The 19,367-nt window shown below is 44.2% G+C and overlaps 1 long non-coding RNA gene across 1 annotated transcript, besides 6 other annotated features; it reads left to right on the top strand.

The window, feature by feature from the left end:
- Positions 179 to 258: a silencer, noted in NCBI's record as "silent region_14817". NCBI's record gives its function as "represses an Ori minimal core promoter by ATAC-STARR-seq in GM12878 lymphoblastoid cells {active_cell/tissue: GM12878}" and the evidence as "EXISTENCE:reporter gene assay evidence [ECO:0000049][PMID:35858748]".
- LOC101928105 (uncharacterized) lies at positions 2,140 to 6,654 on the top strand. The gene is made up of 3 exons (NR_121657.1): positions 2,140 to 2,274; positions 4,610 to 4,783; positions 6,261 to 6,654. It is a non-coding gene; the product is annotated as an uncharacterized LOC101928105 (long non-coding RNA).
- Positions 7,128 to 7,819: a transcriptional cis regulatory region, noted in NCBI's record as "candidate enhancer chr3.4444 targeted for multiplex CRISPR interference". NCBI's record gives its function as "positively regulates SIAH2 gene expression with high confidence in K562 cells {active_cell/tissue: K562}" and the evidence as "EXISTENCE:mutant phenotype evidence [ECO:0000015][PMID:30612741]".
- Positions 11,068 to 11,460: a transcriptional cis regulatory region, noted in NCBI's record as "candidate enhancer chr3.4443 targeted for multiplex CRISPR interference". NCBI's record gives its function as "positively regulates SIAH2 gene expression with high confidence in K562 cells {active_cell/tissue: K562}" and the evidence as "EXISTENCE:mutant phenotype evidence [ECO:0000015][PMID:30612741]".
- Positions 13,226 to 13,725: an enhancer, noted in NCBI's record as "H3K4me1 hESC enhancer chr3:150445187-150445686 (GRCh37/hg19 assembly coordinates)". NCBI's record gives its function as "activates a minimal SCP1, AML or CMV promoter by ChIP-STARR-seq in naive H9 embryonic stem cells {active_cell/tissue: H9 hESC(naive)}" and the evidence as "EXISTENCE:reporter gene assay evidence [ECO:0000049][PMID:30033119]".
- Positions 14,970 to 15,469: an enhancer, noted in NCBI's record as "H3K4me1 hESC enhancer chr3:150443443-150443942 (GRCh37/hg19 assembly coordinates)". NCBI's record gives its function as "activates a minimal SCP1, AML or CMV promoter by ChIP-STARR-seq in primed H9 embryonic stem cells {active_cell/tissue: H9 hESC(primed)}" and the evidence as "EXISTENCE:reporter gene assay evidence [ECO:0000049][PMID:30033119]".
- Positions 15,470 to 15,971: an enhancer, noted in NCBI's record as "H3K4me1 hESC enhancer chr3:150442941-150443442 (GRCh37/hg19 assembly coordinates)". NCBI's record gives its function as "activates a minimal SCP1, AML or CMV promoter by ChIP-STARR-seq in primed H9 embryonic stem cells {active_cell/tissue: H9 hESC(primed)}" and the evidence as "EXISTENCE:reporter gene assay evidence [ECO:0000049][PMID:30033119]".

The raw sequence follows: 19,367 nt of genomic DNA, 5'->3' as shown, positions 1-19,367 counted from the left end.
TATTGTGCTTCATTTCCCTAATTGAGTAATGGGTATTTATTGAGCATCTACTGTGTGCAAGTGCAATGAACCTTCGTCACTACATCTGGGGTTGGAACTTTCACTGTTTGTTTCCACTGTGGAAACAGTCATTGGGCCAAGGTCATGGCACGGGTCCATGACAGCACTGGGGTCCGGGCTCATGTGTCTGAACCACTGACTGTCAGTGCTGCAGGTCTCCTCCCAGGGCTGTCGTTTCTATCTGACAGTGCCAGTACCTGTGCAATAAGAGGATTGCTCCAGCTTTACAGAGTCAGAAGGAAGACGCTTGGCCACTGCTGACATCCAGAGTGCTGGCGTTGATCCAAGCTGACCCACTCCCTCAGTCCCAACCCTAAACTCTCAAAAGAATTTAGAGGATTAGGGCCAAATGCTCAGCAAGGATTGAAGGCTGCTTACCTCAGTGTCCCAATTTCTTTCTTTTTTTTTTTTTTTTTTTTTGAGACAGAGGCTGGAGTGCAATGGCACTCACTGCAATCTCTGCCTCTAGGTTCAAACAATTCTCCTGCCTCAGCCTCCCAAGTAAGTGGGACTAGAGGCCTATGCCACCACACCCAGCTAATCTTTGTATTTTTAGTAGAGATGAGGCCAGACTGGTCTCGAACTCCTGACCTCAAGTGATCCACTTGCCTCGGCCTCCCAAAGTGCTGGGATTAAGGCATGAGCCACCACACCCAGCCCTCAGTGTCCCAATTTCATTAGCATACTACCAAATGGAGGTGATGGCTTTGGAGTTGATTTTGTTTTTTAAGTGAGATACAGCGTTGAGTTTTTAGCCAGCACAGGGCTCTGACATTTAAAGAATTGCTAAAGTAACCTCTTCTGTAAAAGTGAAAAACGGTGCCCTACACAAAAGTAGGGGTTTACAACATCTGTGGTGAATGAATAAAAACCACAACTCTTATCACTAAGAAAGTCACATTTCAAGTCCATATACAGAGGAACCTATGAAGGTGAAACTAGGATCCAGGAGCAGATGAACTCTGACCCTCAGGACCAGAGCCAGTCCAGATATGGCCTCCAGGGCCCTCACGGCACCCATGCAAGGTGCAGTGTGCATACACTAGCCAAGCTTGGCAGCATCACTTCATGTCCACGGCTTACCCTCTTACTACGTGTGGTAGAGGAATCAGGACTGATTGGTTAACAGTGCATAAAACGCAAACCTATAAACAAAAGACATAAAGAAGGAGAAAGTGGACACAAGTTATTCCAAAAGCACAAAAAGAGTTTTAGCCCAAAAAGGTAAAGTGATGGGCCAGCAGCCACACAGTGCATTACTGGCAGCACTGGTTCTATAATTCAGGCTTCTTGATTCCCCATTCAAACTTGCTCCTAGAACTTAACAAATGAAAAAGTTGTAAGCAACGCAACTCTGAACTTTTATTTTCCAGAGTTACGTAGTTCCCTTTCATCTCTGTCACTGGAAATCTGTAAACTTAACCTTTACTCTTGACTTTCTTGAAACTGTGCATTTTCTACCAGAAAATAAAAATCCCCAGGTTATTCCGTTTTAACAGGAAGTGAAAACAGCAGAAAAAGATTATGTAAATTAAAATGCCTTTTTATGCAGTTCCAATTGCAAATGCAATTTAAAACATGATGAGTATATTCCTTGACTTGTTGCTTTTAAAAAAAGTGAGAAAAAAAAAGAAAAGTAATGATAGGCATTTGTCAAAACTCATCACGTGGTCCACTTAAGTACCATATTTTAAAAAATAAAATAAGAATATTTTATCTTTCCTGTCCTAGTTCAATATTCTAATTTGGTAATCTGGCGATTAAACGATGGTAGATTAAGCCTGTGTCTTATGACGCATGAGTCATTCTAAAGAAAAAAGGGTTCTCAAAATACCTTGGGAGAAAATGTTAACAGTCATTAATTCTGGGTGCCTAGAACCTGGGTATATGGTATATTATTAATTGCATTGTTCTACGTTTTTAATTTTTTTCAAAAAACCAACCAACCTTGAGATTAGGGGTTCCCAGCGTTCTTGTAAGGAGGAACTGGTCTTGGTTTCCCTGAATCCAGAAGACTTAAAGGATTGAGACAGTGGAGTTCTTAGAGGGAACTGTCCAGGGGATTATGGGAAATACTTCGGAGAAGAGGCACCGAAGCATCAACTATCTTGGAACTCTGCCAACTAGAACCTCGGCCTCAACTGACACATCCAAACTAATGGCTGAGTGTCTTTTTTAGCAGCATCAAGCAACTCCTTTACAATACCACCCAAAGTAATTTTCCTGAAGAAATTCTCCTTGTATCTAACTTCATTCAGGTTCTTGGGGCTTGCCAAATAGCCAGCAATGTGACCTTAACTTGGTCAGTTGACATCTCTGGTCTTAAGTTTCCTAATCTGCAACATTTGAAGGTTTATTTTCTAAACGTTTTTACTTTAGTACTAATTTCTGTGAGACAATCAAGCTATTCAATGTTAGGTTGAGGTATGTAAATCATTCCTGCCAGCCTTTGTACGAGGTGGTTCTGGTATCACTGTGGCCCAGCATGTGTCTGTCTATCAGTGTTGGCAGGTGAGTCATGCTCCAGCTACCTCTCAGATTCCCATGGTTTAGAGCTAGGGGTGGTGCCTGGGTAGAGAGACCAGTTTTGCTTTGTGGCTCTGGCTTGAGAGGCCTGTGGCCTTGAACCTTCCTGATTCATGCAGGCTGTGCTTGAAAGTATGATTATAATTTCACTGACCTGTGAAAGGGAGGCAAGAGTGCTTAAAGGGAGAAATCTAATTCCCCATATTGTTAAACCTTCTTCTAATTTGAAGCTTAAAATCTCTTATTTGTGAATACCGTTAATGTGTCTTGGAGTCTTCAAATGACAAGCAGAAAGAACCTTGATCCCATTGACACCAACACCCACCACCACTACCATTTTACAGAATAAACAAGTAAGACCTACAGAGGGAAACACACTGGCCCCAAACCACACTGCTGATTAGAATTTTCTGTGATGATGACATGGTGTCTTCTGTATTGAGTAAAAGGGAAAAAATTACAAAACAGCTTAAAGTACAAGCCAACATTTTACCATGACTAAGGGAAGTGGCTCCCAGTCTTGATTCCCCATTTCCATTGCCACCATCTGGGCCAGGACCACTGTTGGGGCTCCTAACTGTTTGTCCTCCTTCTTCCTGCCTGCTCCAATGTATTCTACACATAGGCAGAGGCTCTTTTGACATGAAAATCATTGGCATCACAGCTCTTCAATATTCTCTTGCGGTGCACCCTATTTCTTTTCCTTCATGGCACCACAATTGTGATTACATATTTTTTTTTATTGTTCAGCGCCTGCCTCCCCTTGACAACCTGCAGGGTAATAGAGACAATGAAGTCCCTGGCACCTAGGCACCCAATTAATATCTGAATGAATAAATAACTACTAACAGGCTAGTGTGAGAGCAGCATTGAAGTCAACACTTTAAGAGTTAAGGTTTTCTGGTTTTGTACCAAAAGTCCCTGGGGAAATTACGCAAGTAGGCAGGGAACAGAGATGGGGAGATAATCTAACAATCCAGAGAAGGGAAGAAACAAAGGGTTTCTCTGCCCCTGTCATCCTCCAGGCAAGGTCACTAAGGCTGGTTTGAAGTTTCTGTGCCTTGAAATTTCTTATGTCATGGAGTCACCTGACATTCAGATCAAAGGCCGACTCCGCTCTATGTTTGATGATCCTTGCAGCAAGCACAGATCAAGGTTCCTGTGACCTGCAGCAATTGGATTACAAGATTAGATCAATTTGCAAAGTACACCAAGATCACAGCAGTTGCCATCCATTAGGTACCTATCGTGTGCAAAGTGCTTTGTCTGTATTAACCCATTTAATCCTCTCAATAAAATAAGCAGTGTTTATTATCCCCATTTTGGAGTCGAGGAAATGAAGGCTCAGAGAGATTAAGTAATTTGCCTACACTCACACAGCTGGTAAGAAACAGAATTGGAATATGAACCCATCGTGGAGTCCATGCCCCTTCACCATATCACGTGATCCATCATTATTCTTATTTGGCTTTCACATATTTTGACCATCAGCAGAAATATTGCTTACTTGTAACAGATAAAGATGAACAAGATGGAGGGGTGCAGGATGCTTGGTGAATACAGAACATACCACCTGTGCTTTGGAACTGCCTTCCCCACTGTCATGGCATGCTAGAAGGGGATGGAGACCTAGAAATCGTTCAGACCCTCACTAGTTAAAGTGTGGTCCGTGCACCAGCGGCATCAGCATCACCTGGGAACTTGTCAGAAATGCAGCATCTCAGCCTCCACCCCAGACCTCCTGACCAGAATCCGCATTTTAACACAGTATGCAGGTGATGTGGATGCATGTTCAAGTTTGGGAAGCACTGGTTGGATCAAAGGTTATCACCCCACACGTCCTTTGGAATCATGTGGGGAACTTTAAAGAATGCCAGGACCTAAGTTAGAATTCTTGGCAGTAAGGCTGAGCTTCTGTGTGCTTTTTAAAGCTTCCCAGAAGGGACCAGCACACAGTCAGGGTTGAGAACCTCTGACCCAGTCCAACCTCACTGCCTCATTTTCTCTTGTATTTCTCATACAGCCGCTGAGACAAGTGATGTCACCTGCCAATACTGTAGATTGAATAACCAGGGAAGGCTGAGGAATGCAAGTGAATGTAAAAACCACCTGGAGGGAAGCATTGCAGCAAGAAAGGAACAGCAAGTGCAGAGGCCTGAGGCAGAACCAGCAGGGAAAATGCTTTGAGGTGAGGCAGGTAAGGAGCTAGAGCCTTGCCCTGTGAGGCCAGCTAGGGGTCTGGCTTTCTTTCCAGGTACAATGGGAGGCCACTGGAAAGTTTCAAGGAGCATGGATGATGGGATTCGGGTTTTTAAAAAGAGCTGTAGCTGTTCAATTAAAACAAAACAAAACAACAAAAACAATGATTATAAAGGGCAGGAATGGAAGCATTTTGGAAGCTATTGCATTTCACCCAGTGAAAGATAATTATGGCTTGGACAGAGTGAGCAAAGGTAGAGATTAACAGAAATGGGCATATTTGGGCTATGTTTTCAAGGTAGAGTTAACAGGAGTTGCTAAAAAGTTGGATGGGTGGGAGAGGGGTGATGATTATAGGAATAAGGAAAAGAGAGAATCAAGGATGATCACTCCTAGGCTCTCATCCTGAGTAAATGGGTAAGAAGTTCCATGTATTGGGGCAGAGACTAGTGAAGGAGCCAGCATAGGGCAGAAATCTAGAGAGACACATGGCTGAAGACATCAACCAGACAGTTGTTTGTATGAGCTTGGAGCTCTGAGGAAAGGCCAGGATGGAAATACCAAAATGTGTGCACCATCACTATATGTATGGTGTTTAAGCTGTGGGGTGGAAGTGAGAAGACCCCGGGGTTTGGGCAATGGAGGGAGGTGCATACAGGCAGAAAAGAGGGTGGGACTCAGGCCTATCTCCTGGGACTGCCAACCTTTTAGAGGTCACATGAGGAGCCAGAGCCTGGAAATGAGGGTGGATAGAAGAAGTGGCCATCAAGATGAGGGGAACTCCTAGACAGTACGGCATCACAGAACCCCAGGAAAAAAATCTGGCTCAAGTAGAACAGAGGAGTTAGCCACTGAGAAGACAATCGAGGTCATGGCAAGATGTCAAGAGCAGTCTCATGGAGTGGAGAAGACAGAAGCCCAGAGGAGAGCAGGTGAGGGAGAGAACAGGGCATGGGTGAGGAGAGGAGGCAGGAGCTATAGCTATAGAGCTATAGACAAGTTGCTATAGACAAGGCTTTTAAGAAGTTCCGCAGAGAAGACGTAGAGAAATGAAGCAGTTGCTGCAGGAGAATAGTGGGATCAATGAAAGATTTTTTTGTGTTTTAAAAATTGGAGCCACTAGAGCATGGCACTGTGCCAATGGGAAGGATCCAAAAGAGAGAGCGAAATGGATGATGTGGAGAAGGAGGCAATCACAGCGGGGGCAAAGTAATCAGAAAGACAAGTTTCCAGGGCAGATTACTTACTTATGCAGTAGAGATGGTCAGGAAGCAGCCATTATTGAAATAGAGAGAGGTGGGAAAAAAATTGTGCCAACAAGCAAGGGTTGAAGCAAATTATGTTTAGAAGGCCCTGGTGAGGGCGTCTGTGCATATCCAGCCCTGAACAGGAGAAAGGCACTGGCTGCAGCTCAGTCTAGAACATCCCAGGCATCTGAGAGGTTTACACCTTAGCAAGCTGTGGTGTTTTTCTAGGTTCCATGAAAACCTGGAAGAAATATTCCTGAGGACCATCCAACACCATTTCCCTGAGAGACAAGCTGTAAGTGCTGTTCTAGTTACAGATCCGAGTCCCTGGTACATTGATATCAAGTAAGGGTGCATGCAGCTCAGAAGGCAGTTTCCATTACACTGGACAAGAGTGTGGCTGCCTGAGTCCTAGAACTGCAGTGGCTTCTGCTGACAATGTGAGGAGTAGCTGCCCTGTCCAGAGTGTGGCCCCGCACGCTGCCCCCTCCCCTGGAGGGACTGAAGAGAACAGCTTGGAGCATGCCCTTCCCTTTCCCTTATCTCGCCCACTATGCTAATGCTGCTCATCCCTCAAGATCCGAGTTATTCCTCCTCAATTCAATACACACCAATCAACTGCCCTGTGCTTGGTCCTGTACTTTATATCCTTGATATGGTTTAATTTTCAAAACAAAACACCTTGAGGTGGGTATTATCACTCCCATTAACAAACAAGAAGGTGGGGGCTCAGAGAGGCTAAGTAACTTGCCCAAAGTCACACAGCTTGTAAGCAGTGAAAATGGGATTTACACTCAGGAATGTAGCCCTTCCAACAGCCCTGCTGCCTGCAAAAGTGACTCAGATATGGACTTTACAGTCTAGCAGAAGTCTGAAAGCATCAAACAAAGAGGCAACTTACAGTAGCATGAAATATGCAACCACAACTACATCAACTATGTTTGCAAAGCAAGTTAAGACAAGGACGTACAAATTGCTATGGAGTTCAAAAGAGGATTGGAAAAGGCTTCCGGGAGAAAGCAGCGCGTGCATTGGGCCTTGGGTGTTGGGTAGGTTTTTGCAAGGCTGAGGTAGTTAGGAGGATGTGCCAAGAGATCAGCCTCTCCTGGATCAAGACCAAACCACTCAATGCCTAAGTCCAGCCTTGTCCACCTCCCATCCACTTCTCAGGGCTATTCTTCTCTCACACTTCCTTTGTTCCCGCGTTCCTGACACCCACACAAGGTCAGACACGTAGAACGTGCCGAGTGAATATCAAAGTTCAGCAGTGTCTTGTCTGGTCCCTAATTCTAATCTATCCTTTAACCCATCCTCATACTAGCTAAATTTCAGGACGAACCCTGTCCACAATAAAAACTACTTCTTCTAGAGAATTTGCCCTGCCCATAGTTCCTGGAACACCCCATGCAAACCCCCCACTAATTCACACACCCACAAACTTGTAATGCAGGCCACAGCTGATAAGACCTTACCCAGGCCAGCGGTTCATTGGCTGAGCAGCCACCAGTCAGATTCTCTTGAGAGAGTCAAAGACAGTCAGTGGTGTGCACCAGAGTCACACAGCCCTGGAAAGTCAGCACACTAGCAAAGGAAAAGCCTTGATAGCAAGAGGCCCCTAGGGGTGGAGGGAGCAGCCACTGCCGCCCACCCTGCCAGGTCCTAATCCCTCCCCAGGGAGCCCAGAAACACTCCATTTCCTGCTTTGAGGCATCTTGGAGACAGCCTGCTGTGCCTTCACAATTAATTCTTCTTATCACTTTTTTTTTCAATTTTAGACCATATTTATTCACTCCCACCACCAAAATTGAAGAAAGTAACACACAAAGTTTCTCCCTCCTTCTAATTTTGCTTAATTTTATGATTATTGCTGTCAAGATGTATAACTTTTTTTTTTTTTTTGAGATGGAGTCTCTCTCTGTTGCCCAGGCTGGGGTGCAGTGGTGCCATCTTAGCTCACTGCAACCTCCGCCTCCCGGGTTCAAGCGATTCTCCTGCCTCAGCCTCCGAGTAGCTGGAATTACAGGCACCTGCCACCATGCCCGGCTAATTTTTGTATTTTTAGTAAATACAGGGTTTCACCATGTTGGCCAGGGTGATCTTGAACTCCTGACCTCAAGCAATCCACCCGCCTCAGCCTCCCAAACTGCTGAGATTACAGGCGTGAACCACTGCACCCAGCCAAGATGTATAACTTTTAAAAAAACATTTTATTAGTAAATTTTCAAAAGGAAGGAGAATAATATAACGAATTCGATGTGTTATCACCAACTTCAACCATTATCAACTCTTGGCCAGCTGTCCTGCATCTATACCCTCACCTACATCCACGTGTGGATTTCTTTGAATCAAATCCCAGGCATCATATCATTTCATCTGTATATGTTTCAGTATAGAATATCTAAAGATTAGGACTTTGAAACATACTCACAATACTGTTTTTATATCTATAAAAATTATAAATTTTAATATAATCAAATATCCAGTCAGAGGTCACATTTCTCTGGTTGATATACAGTCTGTTTGAACTGGGATACATATATAAGATCCTTACATTGCTACTGATAAAATGCTTATGTCTTTTTTAATCTACAGATTCTCCCTCCATCTCTTCTCCTTTCTTGAAGTTATTTATTGAAAAACCCAGGGTTCCTATAGCAGAGTTTCCTATAGTCTCATTGCAACCCCAGAATATCATTTTATCAGATTCAGATTTGATTTTTCTTTTTATAAGACTGCTTCAAACCAACCAGGGAACTGTTGGGGAGGAAAAAAAAGAAGACTGCTTCATAGGTGATGGTAGTGATGTGTATGTCTATAACACAAAGGACAATGGCTGTTGCTCTCTTCCTCTAACTCTGTCTGTCTCTTTTAGTGATATTATCGGCCATTGATGGCTCATATTCACTTGTGAGGCATTACAGAATGATCTTTCAAATCATTCCTTTTTTATGAACTGGAAAACTTCTATAGTGACAAACTTCCTCTTTTCAACTATTGGTTTACCGTAAGGTACATTTTACAAGGGAAAGATAACATAAATGCCTGATTATTTTCCTTTATCAGTTTTCAAAACAATGAGGTAGTTTTCTAGCATCCTCCAAAAATAAAACCAATGAAGTAACATTTTAAAAATATATCAGGCAGGCCAGGCATGGTGGCTCATGCCTGTAATCCCAGCACTTTGGGAGGCCAAGGCAGGCAGATCATCTGAGGTCAGGAGTTCGAGACCAGCCTGGCCAAAATGGTGAAACCTCGTCTCCACTAAAAATACAAAAGTTAGCCAGGTGTGGTGGTGCATGCCTGTAGTCCCAGCTACTTGGGAGGCTGAGGCAGGAGAATCATTTGAACCTGGGAGACAGAGGTTGCAGTGAGCCGAGATCACACCACTGCACTCCAGCCTGGATGACAGAGCAAGACCCTGTCTCAAAAACTAAAAATCATTATGTCTCTTAAAAAAAAGAATATCATTATGAATTCATGGATTTTAACTTTTTTATGTATTTCAATTCATTGCCATTATTATCCTTGTTGATACTCATATCATTCCATCTTGGCCTGACAAATGCATATTCAGCTTGGTTCCTGAGTGCTTTTGACATGATCACAAATAGCCTCTGATGTTCCAGGCTCATCTTGTTCTTTTCCTGCACTCAACATGTAATCAACGATGTCTTCAAGGAACCTTGATTTCTTTAGTGTGAAACAATGATTCAAGACCACAGTCTAGGCAGTAGGAGCCCCCGTTATTCAAACTTGAGCCAGTTTGAATGGATTTTCTACCCTGGAGCTGAATAGATGTTGACTAGAATTCTCAATGTTTCCACCAAAATAAGTTATGAAAGAAGCAAATCTGGTCACACAAATCTAATTTAAAATCTTCCCTTTTTTAGACAAGAGTGTCAAGATAATTCAATGGAGAAAGAATAATTGTTTCAACAAATGGGACAACTGGATATTCACATGCAAAAGAATGAAGTTGGATCCCTGCCTCATGCATGTGTGTGTGTGTGTATATATATATAAAAATTTACATGACAGACAGACACTGTCCTTTGTGTTATAGATGTACCCATCACCACCATCAACTATGAAGCCATCAGGGTTTTTTCCCCAATAGTTCCCTGGTTGGTTTGAAGCAGTCTTGTAAAAAGGAAAATCAAATCTGAATCTGAGCAGATTATATTCTTGGGCTGCAATGAGACTATAGGAAACTCTGCTATGGGGAACCTGGGTTCTTCAATAAATAATTTCAAGAAAGCAAAAGAGATAGAAGGAGAATCTATAGATTAAAAGAGACATAAGCATTTCATCAGAGGCAATGTAAGAATGTTTCTATTATATATTACATATTATATATTCATTCATTTATCCAACACACATATATACATACTGCTTCCCTACACTATGCCAGGTACTGTTCCATACACAAAGGATCCAGCAAAATGTACAAAAACTCTAGCCCTTGGCTGGGCATGGTGGCTCATACCTGTAATCACAGCATTCTGGCAGGCCAAGGCTGGCAGGTCACTTGAAGCCAGGAGTTTGAGACCAGACTGGCCAACATGGTGAAACCCAGTCTCAACTAAAACTACAAAAAAAAATTAGCCAAGCGTGGTGGTACAAGCCTGTAGTCCCAGCTACTCAGGAGGCTGAGGCACAAGAATTGCTTGAACCCAGGAGGTGGAGGTTGCAATGAGCTGAGATTTCACCACTGCAACTCCAGCCTGGGTGACAGAGTGAGACCCTGTCTTCAAAACAAAATAAAACAAACAAGCAAAAAACCTCTAGCCTTTGTGTTGCTTACATTGTCATGGAGAGAAGAAGGCAATAAACAAAATATATGCAAAGATTTTATACAGTATAATACATTGAAGATAGTCAATGCTATGGAGAAAAATAAAGCAGGTAGAAGGGATGGTCAGTAGGGGAGTAGGGGAGAGGAGGGATCGCAGTTATAAACAGAGTGATATTTGAGCAAATGCTTGACGGAGGTGAGGGAATGAAACATGCAGCTAATTGGAGGAAAAACATTCTAGGCAGGGGAAATAACAAGTCCAAAGGCCCTGAGGTGTGCATGTCTCGTGTGTTCAAGGAATATCCAGGGAGCGGAGTCCGGGGAAGGAAAGTAGGAGCTGAGGTGAGAAAGTGCGAGGAGAGAAAAACTTTGCTATTTTATTGGAGCAGAGCACAGCGGCGTGTTCATGTCTAAAAAGAGTAGAAATTATTCTGGATGGTGACTCCACAAGGGGAACATATGCAGCTTGCCTGGTTTCAAGATAAGGGCCATAATCAGTGGCACACAGGAGCCGGCACATACCAACTTGCAACAGTCAAATGTTTAGGAATCTTGAGAGCCAGTTGATAAACACAGCTATTATTAAAAATTAAATTCTAGATTTATAATTAAATAAGTTATATTTAACAGTATTATATTTAACAGTATATATTTAACAGTAGCAGTATTTAGTACTTAGAAAGTGGCAAAAGCAACAAATTGGGGCTTGATTTATTAGTTGTTGTCTAGACTTAAGAAAATGATGACGAAAATGTTAATAATAGAGCTTTAACTTAGAATTATGTCATACTTGGAACCATTACATTGCAAATAGAAAAAAAAGTTGAAGAAATATTTTTCTAGCAGTCAAAAACTACTGCCCAAATCAATAAAGAAGTCACTCACATCATTGATGACACTGATGAACCAGTGAAATTTTGACAAACATCTGAAAGTTAAGGCTTCTTCATTTTAATCTTACTGGTACCAACCAGCATTTATGTCATAATTGCTTGTTTGTCAATATCAACCACAGGTTGGCATACAATATATGCCAAGGGTTCAGCAAAATACAAGGTTCAGATACAACGGTTCAGCAAAAAGCAATGAAAACATTCTGAGGGAATCAATAAGCTATATGGAATTTACAGTTTAGAATACTGTATAATTTCTTATTATTTGTACATTGGGTGCTACAATTCCTTTATATCAGTAAGATTTATCTGACACTTGCATGTGTTAAAAAAAAATTTAATTTCTGGAGCACCAGTTGTTAAACATTTACCAGCACACCTCTGGCTACAATCTGATCAAATCCAATTTTACACATCTTAGAGCCCAGACAGATAGAGGAGAGAGAGGCCTCTCAAGGCAACGAAGCAATTAAAAGGAATGGAGTTACTTCAAAATCATTCTGCTCTAGAATTTGGAGTTGGCCACGCTGGAGACCAAGAATTCCTTTGTGTTTATATTTATGATACCTTCTATTTACAGTAGGTGATTCTAGCTCTCCATTTATGGTAGTGATACAGTTTCCTTTTCAAGTAAACTTGTTTAAAGTACCAAAAAAGACAATTTCGAGAAAAATGTTAAGTAAATGATAAACAGGAAATACACAGAAGTGACAAAAATTCAAATGATGACCTGCAGTATCTCCACTGGGAAACACTAGCTCAATGATTAAGAACTCAGGCTGGCTAGGCACGGTGGCTCACGCCTGTAATCCCAACACTTTGGGAGGCAGAGGTGGGCAGATCACTTGAGGTCAGGAGTTTGAGACCAGCCTGACCAACATGGCAAAACCCCATCTCTACTAAAAATACAAAAATTAGCTGGGCGTGGTGGCAGGCACCTGTAATCCCAGCTACCCAGGACGCTGAGGCAGGAGAATTGCTTGAACCCAGGAGGCGGAGGTTGCAGTGAGCCGAGAACATGCCACTGTACTCCAGCCTGGGCGACAGAGCAAGACTTCCCCTCAAAAAATAAAAGAACTCAGGCTTTCAAGCCATATCTGGGCTCAAATTCAGACACTTCTAATTACCGCTACCTTTGTGAATTCATTGGCCTCAGCGTCCTTGTCCATAAAACAGGCACGCTGCCAACTCCACAGGGTTGCAATGAGTTGTGAGATCCAGGGAAGCCCAGGGCCTGGCACAAATGGGAGCTGACAAAAGAGGGGCTCCAGGGAGAAGCCTCATCTGGGGCCTGGCCTCCTCAGCCCAAAACAGGCAATGCCTTCAACTTTCTCTCTGACGTGTATAAAATGTGAATGTTCACAAGCACACACACGCAACAGCAGCACACACTGTTCCCTGACTCAGCGTTCTCCCCTAAGGCCCTAAGTGCTTCCCTCTCCTATCTGCTGGAGCAGCAGGTTCTTAGGGGTTCCTTAAACCTCAACAGAGCCCTCAGTGACAAGTCCCTGGTTCTGCTGGACACTCTGGTTATAAAGAGGAAAAGACTTCTGCCCTGCCCCAGAGAGCTTTTCCCAGCTAGTGCGGGAGACTGGTAAACAGAGTAGAGCTGGTAAACAGAGTACCTGATGATGACCACGGGAATGGCGTGGTCCCCTAGGTCTCCCTGCAGAGCTCCCGTTGCTCTTCTCTGTTAGTCTTTTTTTTTTCGGGGCGGGGGGGTGATGAAGCCTTGCTCTTGTCGCCCACGCTGGAGTGCAGTGGCATTAGCTCACTGCAACCTCCGCCTCCTGGGTTCAAGTGATTCTCCTGCCTCAGCTTCCCTAGTAGCTGGGATTACAGGTGCCTGCGACAACGCCTGGCTAATTTTTGTATTTTTAGTACAGACGAGGTCTCACCATGTTGGCCAGGCTGGTCTCGAACTCCTGACCTCATGTGATCCACCCACCTCGGCCTCCAAAAGAGCTGGGATTTCGGGCATGAGCCACCGTGCCCGGCCTCTGTAAGGCTCTTTTGTTTGCAAGGAATGGCAACTCGGTCAAGGCCTCAAGTGAAAGGCCTCTATTGTAATAACAATACTGCAGCCAACACTGGCGACATTTGTGCTAGAGAGGCTGCAGTGGCTCCTAGATCCCTGCTCCATGCCTCACCAACTGCTCTGGGCCTGGCAGGCTGACCACTGCGTTTTGTAACCACCTAACAGCCTCATCCTTTGGCCTCCAATCAGATTGGCCTTTGGGTATCATGGGCAGGAGATCAGAGTTAGGGAGAAGTCTTAAGAGTATGCATGCTTTCCACTCCTGCCCTGTAGGGCCAGGTTGGCCCAGCTGCACTCTTGTCCAGACCCCCACAGTTCCTGCCCTGTCACCCTGTTTTGAGGCTGCTGGGTGTCTGATAACTACTTCCTCCCTTCGCCTCATCAGGCCTAGGAGTACTAAAGACTTCTCAGCCAGTTATAGCCCATGGTGTTCCACCATCCTTTGTCCCTTCATCTGACCTATACTTTTGTAAATAGTCTCTCAGCCTCTCCTCAGTTACCCAATTTGGGTGTCCTGCCCAGACCCAGACCGCTACCTGCTTACTGAGTACTTCATATGCACCAGCAGGCCCTTCTCCACATCTTATGCCCATTAACTCATTCAAGCATCAAAACAACCCTATGAAGCAGACACCAGTAACAGCCCAGTTTACAAGTGAGGAACCTGAGAAAGAGTGCTCAGTTACTTACTCAAGTTTACATGGTGGGAAGTAGCATGGCCAGGCAGTGTCTCTGCTGACGCTACTCCGTGTTAGGATATGTACAGGAATAGGAAAGTGCGTGTCTATTTTCACTTCCTGGAGCACAGGACCAGCCACACCAGCAGGTTTCTGGCACTCTGGAGTGTAGTTCAGAAATGGAAATCTCACCAGGCCCCACTGGGGTCTGAAGCCTCACTATCTCCTAGCCGCTGGTGTTGGCACATCGGTGTTACTCAGCCACATTCAGTCTGCTTCTCCTGCTGCCAGCACCCTGCTTCTCTCTGCTCTCCTCCAATCCTCACTACTTCTGCCTAGCATCTTCTCTGTGTATCCTTTGATTTCTACTCCTTACCAACTACTGCCAAAGAGGGGACCACTTGATTCGGACAGCCACTAGTCGACTTTAAAAGTCACTGGTCTCAGCAGGGTGCAGTGGCTCCCACCTGTCATCCCAACATTTTGGGAGGCTGAGGCAGGGATCACTTGAGGCCAGGAGTTCAAGACCAGCCTGGGCAATATAGCGAGACCCTGTCTCTACAAAACAAAAGTAACTGGGCATAGTGGTGTGTGCCTATAGTCCCAGCTACTCAGGAGGTGGAAGGATCACTGTGTCCAGGAGTCCAAGGCTGCGGTGAGCTATGATCATGCCACTGAACTTCCAGCCTGGGTGACAGAGCAAGAACCTGTCTCTAAAAAAAAAAAAAAATTAATTAATTAATTAATAAATATTTAAAAAGTCACTGTCTTTTCCCTGAGTCAGGAGATGCATGGTTACCCGACGAGATATAGGGGTCAATGGGAGGGAAGACACCAGCAGACCCACACAGGATTGTTTCATGGCAAAGTAAACAGAGACACACACGAGCAGGAGATTGCACAGCCTGCTCCCAGGCAAAGGTAGACACATTCTTCTAGTGGGTGGGGAAGTGGATACACCCTCCCAGCCCCTTCCGGCTGTGCTGGAAGCTCTGGCTGCTTGCTGGCTCGCCCCAGTGGCAAGAAGCTGATGCAAAACAACCCTTGCACATTACCATGAGACTAGGCGAGGCGAGACTCAGTTTCCCAGGAGCACCCCAGCAGACTGGGGCCTCAGGCCTACCCCAAGTCCATTCCTGCAGGTGTCCACTGGCCAGCAGTCATGGCGACAATGAGAGGGCCACCTAGTGCAGAAATACAGACCAGGCCATCAACGCAAAAGAAGCCAGTGAGGGCCCGTTCGCTGACCTCTCGGAGTGTAGCAGGCACCCAGGTCTTGACAGACTCCTCTATAGCACATTCCTAAGGCACCCTCCGCTCCAGTCTCCCTGAACTTCCCACAGTTCACAAACATACCGAGTTCTTTCACGACTCTGTGTCTCTGCCCAGACTAGTCTCTCAGCCCAGAAGGTCTTTTCCCACCTTGTTCCTGTAAACTACTTCCTGTTCATCCTTTAAAAGACGCTCCTGAGAAAACCTCCTCAGATACCCCAAGCCAGATCAGCTGTCCTGTCTCCTGTGTTCTTCCTTCCTGGTTCTCTGGAACAGCATTCACCTTGTGATACACTGACTTTTTTTTTTTTTAAGCTGTCTGTTCTCTCTCTCTCTTAAACCAAGAACTCCTCAAGAGCAAGGCCTGTGACTGATTCCGTTTTATATTTTAGGGCCCTTTCCCAGACCAGGAGCACACTAGATGTTCCCCAGGCAAGTATTAAAGAACTGAATAGATGAAGAGCAAGGAACATCATCAAAAAACAGCAAATAGGGTGGTGACTGTTGTTTCCCCAAAGCAAGCAGAGCCTGAGACAAAGCTTATATGAAGTTTATTTAGGAAATGCTGGGCATGGTGGCTCTCACCTGTAATCCCAGCACTTTCAGAGGCCAAGGTGGGCAGATCACCTGAGGTCAGGAGCTCGAGACCAGCCTGGCAAAGTTATACACATTCTTATGGTGTATACTACATGGTGAAACCCCCATCTCTACTAAAAATACAAAAATTAGCCAGGCGAGGTGACATGTGCCTGTAATCCCAGCTACTCAGGAGGCTGAGGCAGGAGAATCGCTTGAACCCAGGAGGCAGAGGTTGCAGGGAGCCGAGATCACACCACTGCACTCCAGCCTGGGCAACAGAGCGAGGCTCCCTCTAAAAAAAAAAAAAAAAAAAAAAAAAAAAGACATTTATTTAGGAAAGTGATTCCAGGCAACAGACTGAAGGACTGAAGAGGGGAGTAGGGGAGGAAAGAAAGCCAGCACAGGTGCATTATCCGCCGGTCACTGCCTTAGGTAACTGAGGCTCAATCCCGCTAGGGGCTTCTGAGGCACTGTGTAGAAGGACCTCAGAATTGTCCACTGAGAGAGAGAAGAGGGAGGTCTTCACCCTCCAGTTCCCATCCCCAGCTCATCAAAGGGTACCCCCTATCACGGTAAGTACCCTGCAAGTCCAGAAGGCAACCAGGAGGCAAATGTGTCCTGTGCCACGCTGCAGGATCCAGGAAACGTCAGGCAGCCAAAGCCAGAGCCATCAGCCACACCTGCACAAAACTGGTTGCTACAGCAGTGGCTGAAGTTGCAGCTGGGCCAACAGGATGTGCAGCATCCATTCAGGTCTGTGTAAGAGTAGGCGAAGTTAAAGCTAGAAAAGTCGCGTTAAGATTATATTGTAGAGGGCCTTAAACATCAGCCCAAAGCTTTATTTGCCACTAAGGATTTCCACACAATGCAGTAATATAAATAGCAGTACCAAGGGGGTGATTTGAGTTCCTTTCAGTCGCCTCCCTCAATAAACCCAATCTGCCATTCTCCAAAAAAAACAAAACAAAACAAAACAAAATATTATCTTAGTAAAAACAATGCAAGTCACCTCCTGCTCCTCTCATTAATCAGTTGCCATGCTTAAGCCACTCTATAGAAATACTAAGCACCCAGTCAGGTGCAACTGTCTCTCTTACCCTTCTATGAGGAAACTCCAATAAATAAATTGTTTTAATGTTTAGATCTCTGTGTCCATCTTTAAGATAAAAAAAAAAAAGGCGAAGCTTAGGAACCTTTAAGGAAGAAACCAGTCAAGGTGGCTCATGCCTGTAATCCTAGCACTTTGGGAAACCAAGGCAGGAGGATTGCTTGAGTCCAGAAATTTGAGACCAGCCTAGGCAGCATAGCATAGACCCTGGAAAGAAAAGAAAAGAGAAAGAAAAAAGAGAAGAGAAAAGAAAAGAAAAGGAAGCAGGGGGAGAGAGAGAGAGAAAGAGAAAGAAGATAGGAAGGAAGGAAGGAAGAAAGGAAGGAAGGAAAGAAGGAAGGAGAGAAGGAAAGAAAGAAAGAAAGAAAGAAAGAAAGAAAGAAAGAAAGAAAGAAAGAAAGAAAGAAAGAAAGAAAGAGAAAGAAAGAAAAAGAAAGAAAGACAAACCAGTCAAGAGGGCCCTCCTTGTTCAATCCATAAGGAGTCTTCAGATGATAGGGAAGTTCCATTCTAATTTCCAAAAAGACTTAGAGGAATTATTCTCTGATTTGCCACTATTCAGAACAGTCTGGGAAGCATTTCCCTATCTCCTCCTGACTCTGGTGGCACACCTATATGAAAATCTGCCATGGTTGCTGTCTTTGTCCTTTTGTGGTAAATTAGATTTTCTTGAACAGTCAAAGATCAAAGGCAAGATGAGAGATTAAGATTTATTTTCTTATATGAGTCATAGCCTGGATCACCAAACAGAGTTCACCAAATGTTTTGAGCAGCGATGACATGACTGAGACAAGATTATGGAGTTCTGGTGTGACGTTTAATTAAAACTCTTCATCTGATCAAGGGCACTGTCACTGTTGGTGACAATGTAAATTACCCATCACCCAGAAATTCTGCCTCTGGGAATTTATCCTAAGACACTAATAAAGAATGTGGGCTTACACTTAGCTACACGAATATTCACCAGACTGCTCTTTAAAAAAAGCAAAAATTGAGAAACAGCTTAAATTCCCAAAAGAAAGGGATTAGTTTTAAAAAAAAAAAAAAGATAGATGTAGGGCTGGGCATGGTGGCTCACACCTGTAATCCCAGAACTTTGGGATTCCAAGGCAGGTGGATCACTTGAGCTCAGGAGTTCAAGACCAGCCTGGGCAACATGGCAAAACCCTGTCTGTACCAAAAATACAAAAAATTAGCTGGGCATGGTAGTGCACGCTTGTGGTACCAGCTACTCAGGAGGCTGAGGTGGGAGGATGAGGCCAAGGTTGCAGCGAGTCAGATCACGCCACTGCACTCCAACCTGGGTGACAGAGTATAGACACCATCTCAAAAAAAATTTTTAAAAGATAGGTGTTCCATGCTGCCATAAATGTAAACACTATATATATGTACACACACACATATATTTATATATTATACTCTGACATAAGGTTAAAAGAATCTGTAGTATTCCCCAGGTTAATATTGGATGGATGGGATTATGAATATTTTAGATGTTCTTTTTGCATGATTTTCACATTATGAGCATGAACTTTTATAATCCAGAAAAATAATGAAAAATATTCACTGGTTAGGGGTGCAGTTTAGAGTCCCATTGCTCAGGCATAAAGTGAGCATAAATTTCCCTCTTTTTCTGTCTGCAGCTCATGAAGCAGTTTAGTCCAACAGACATTATCCAGCTTCTCTAGGGCATGCCCAGCACTGCAAACTGCTGGGGATGCAAAGGTGAAGATGGGGTACGTTTCCTGCCCCTGAGGGACTCAGGCCGAGTGAGCCCATATACACCTCAACAGAAATGCACTGGACATCTCAGGGAAGCCTAGAATTTGAAGCACTCCTGGGCCTCCCAGAGACTAGATATTACATTAAAGTGCGTTGTAAGGCAGCACTATACTAATGTAGGCTTCCAAATGCCTCCCATCGGAGGAACCGGCTCACGGGAGAAGCTAAGTGCTCTCAGGAGAGCTGGGGTG

The sequence above is a fragment of the Homo sapiens genome, chromosome 3 (assembly GCF_000001405.40).
Source record: "Homo sapiens chromosome 3, GRCh38.p14 Primary Assembly".
NCBI lineage: Eukaryota > Metazoa > Chordata > Mammalia > Primates > Hominidae > Homo > Homo sapiens.
This window is presented reverse-complemented; position numbering and strand designations above follow the sequence as displayed.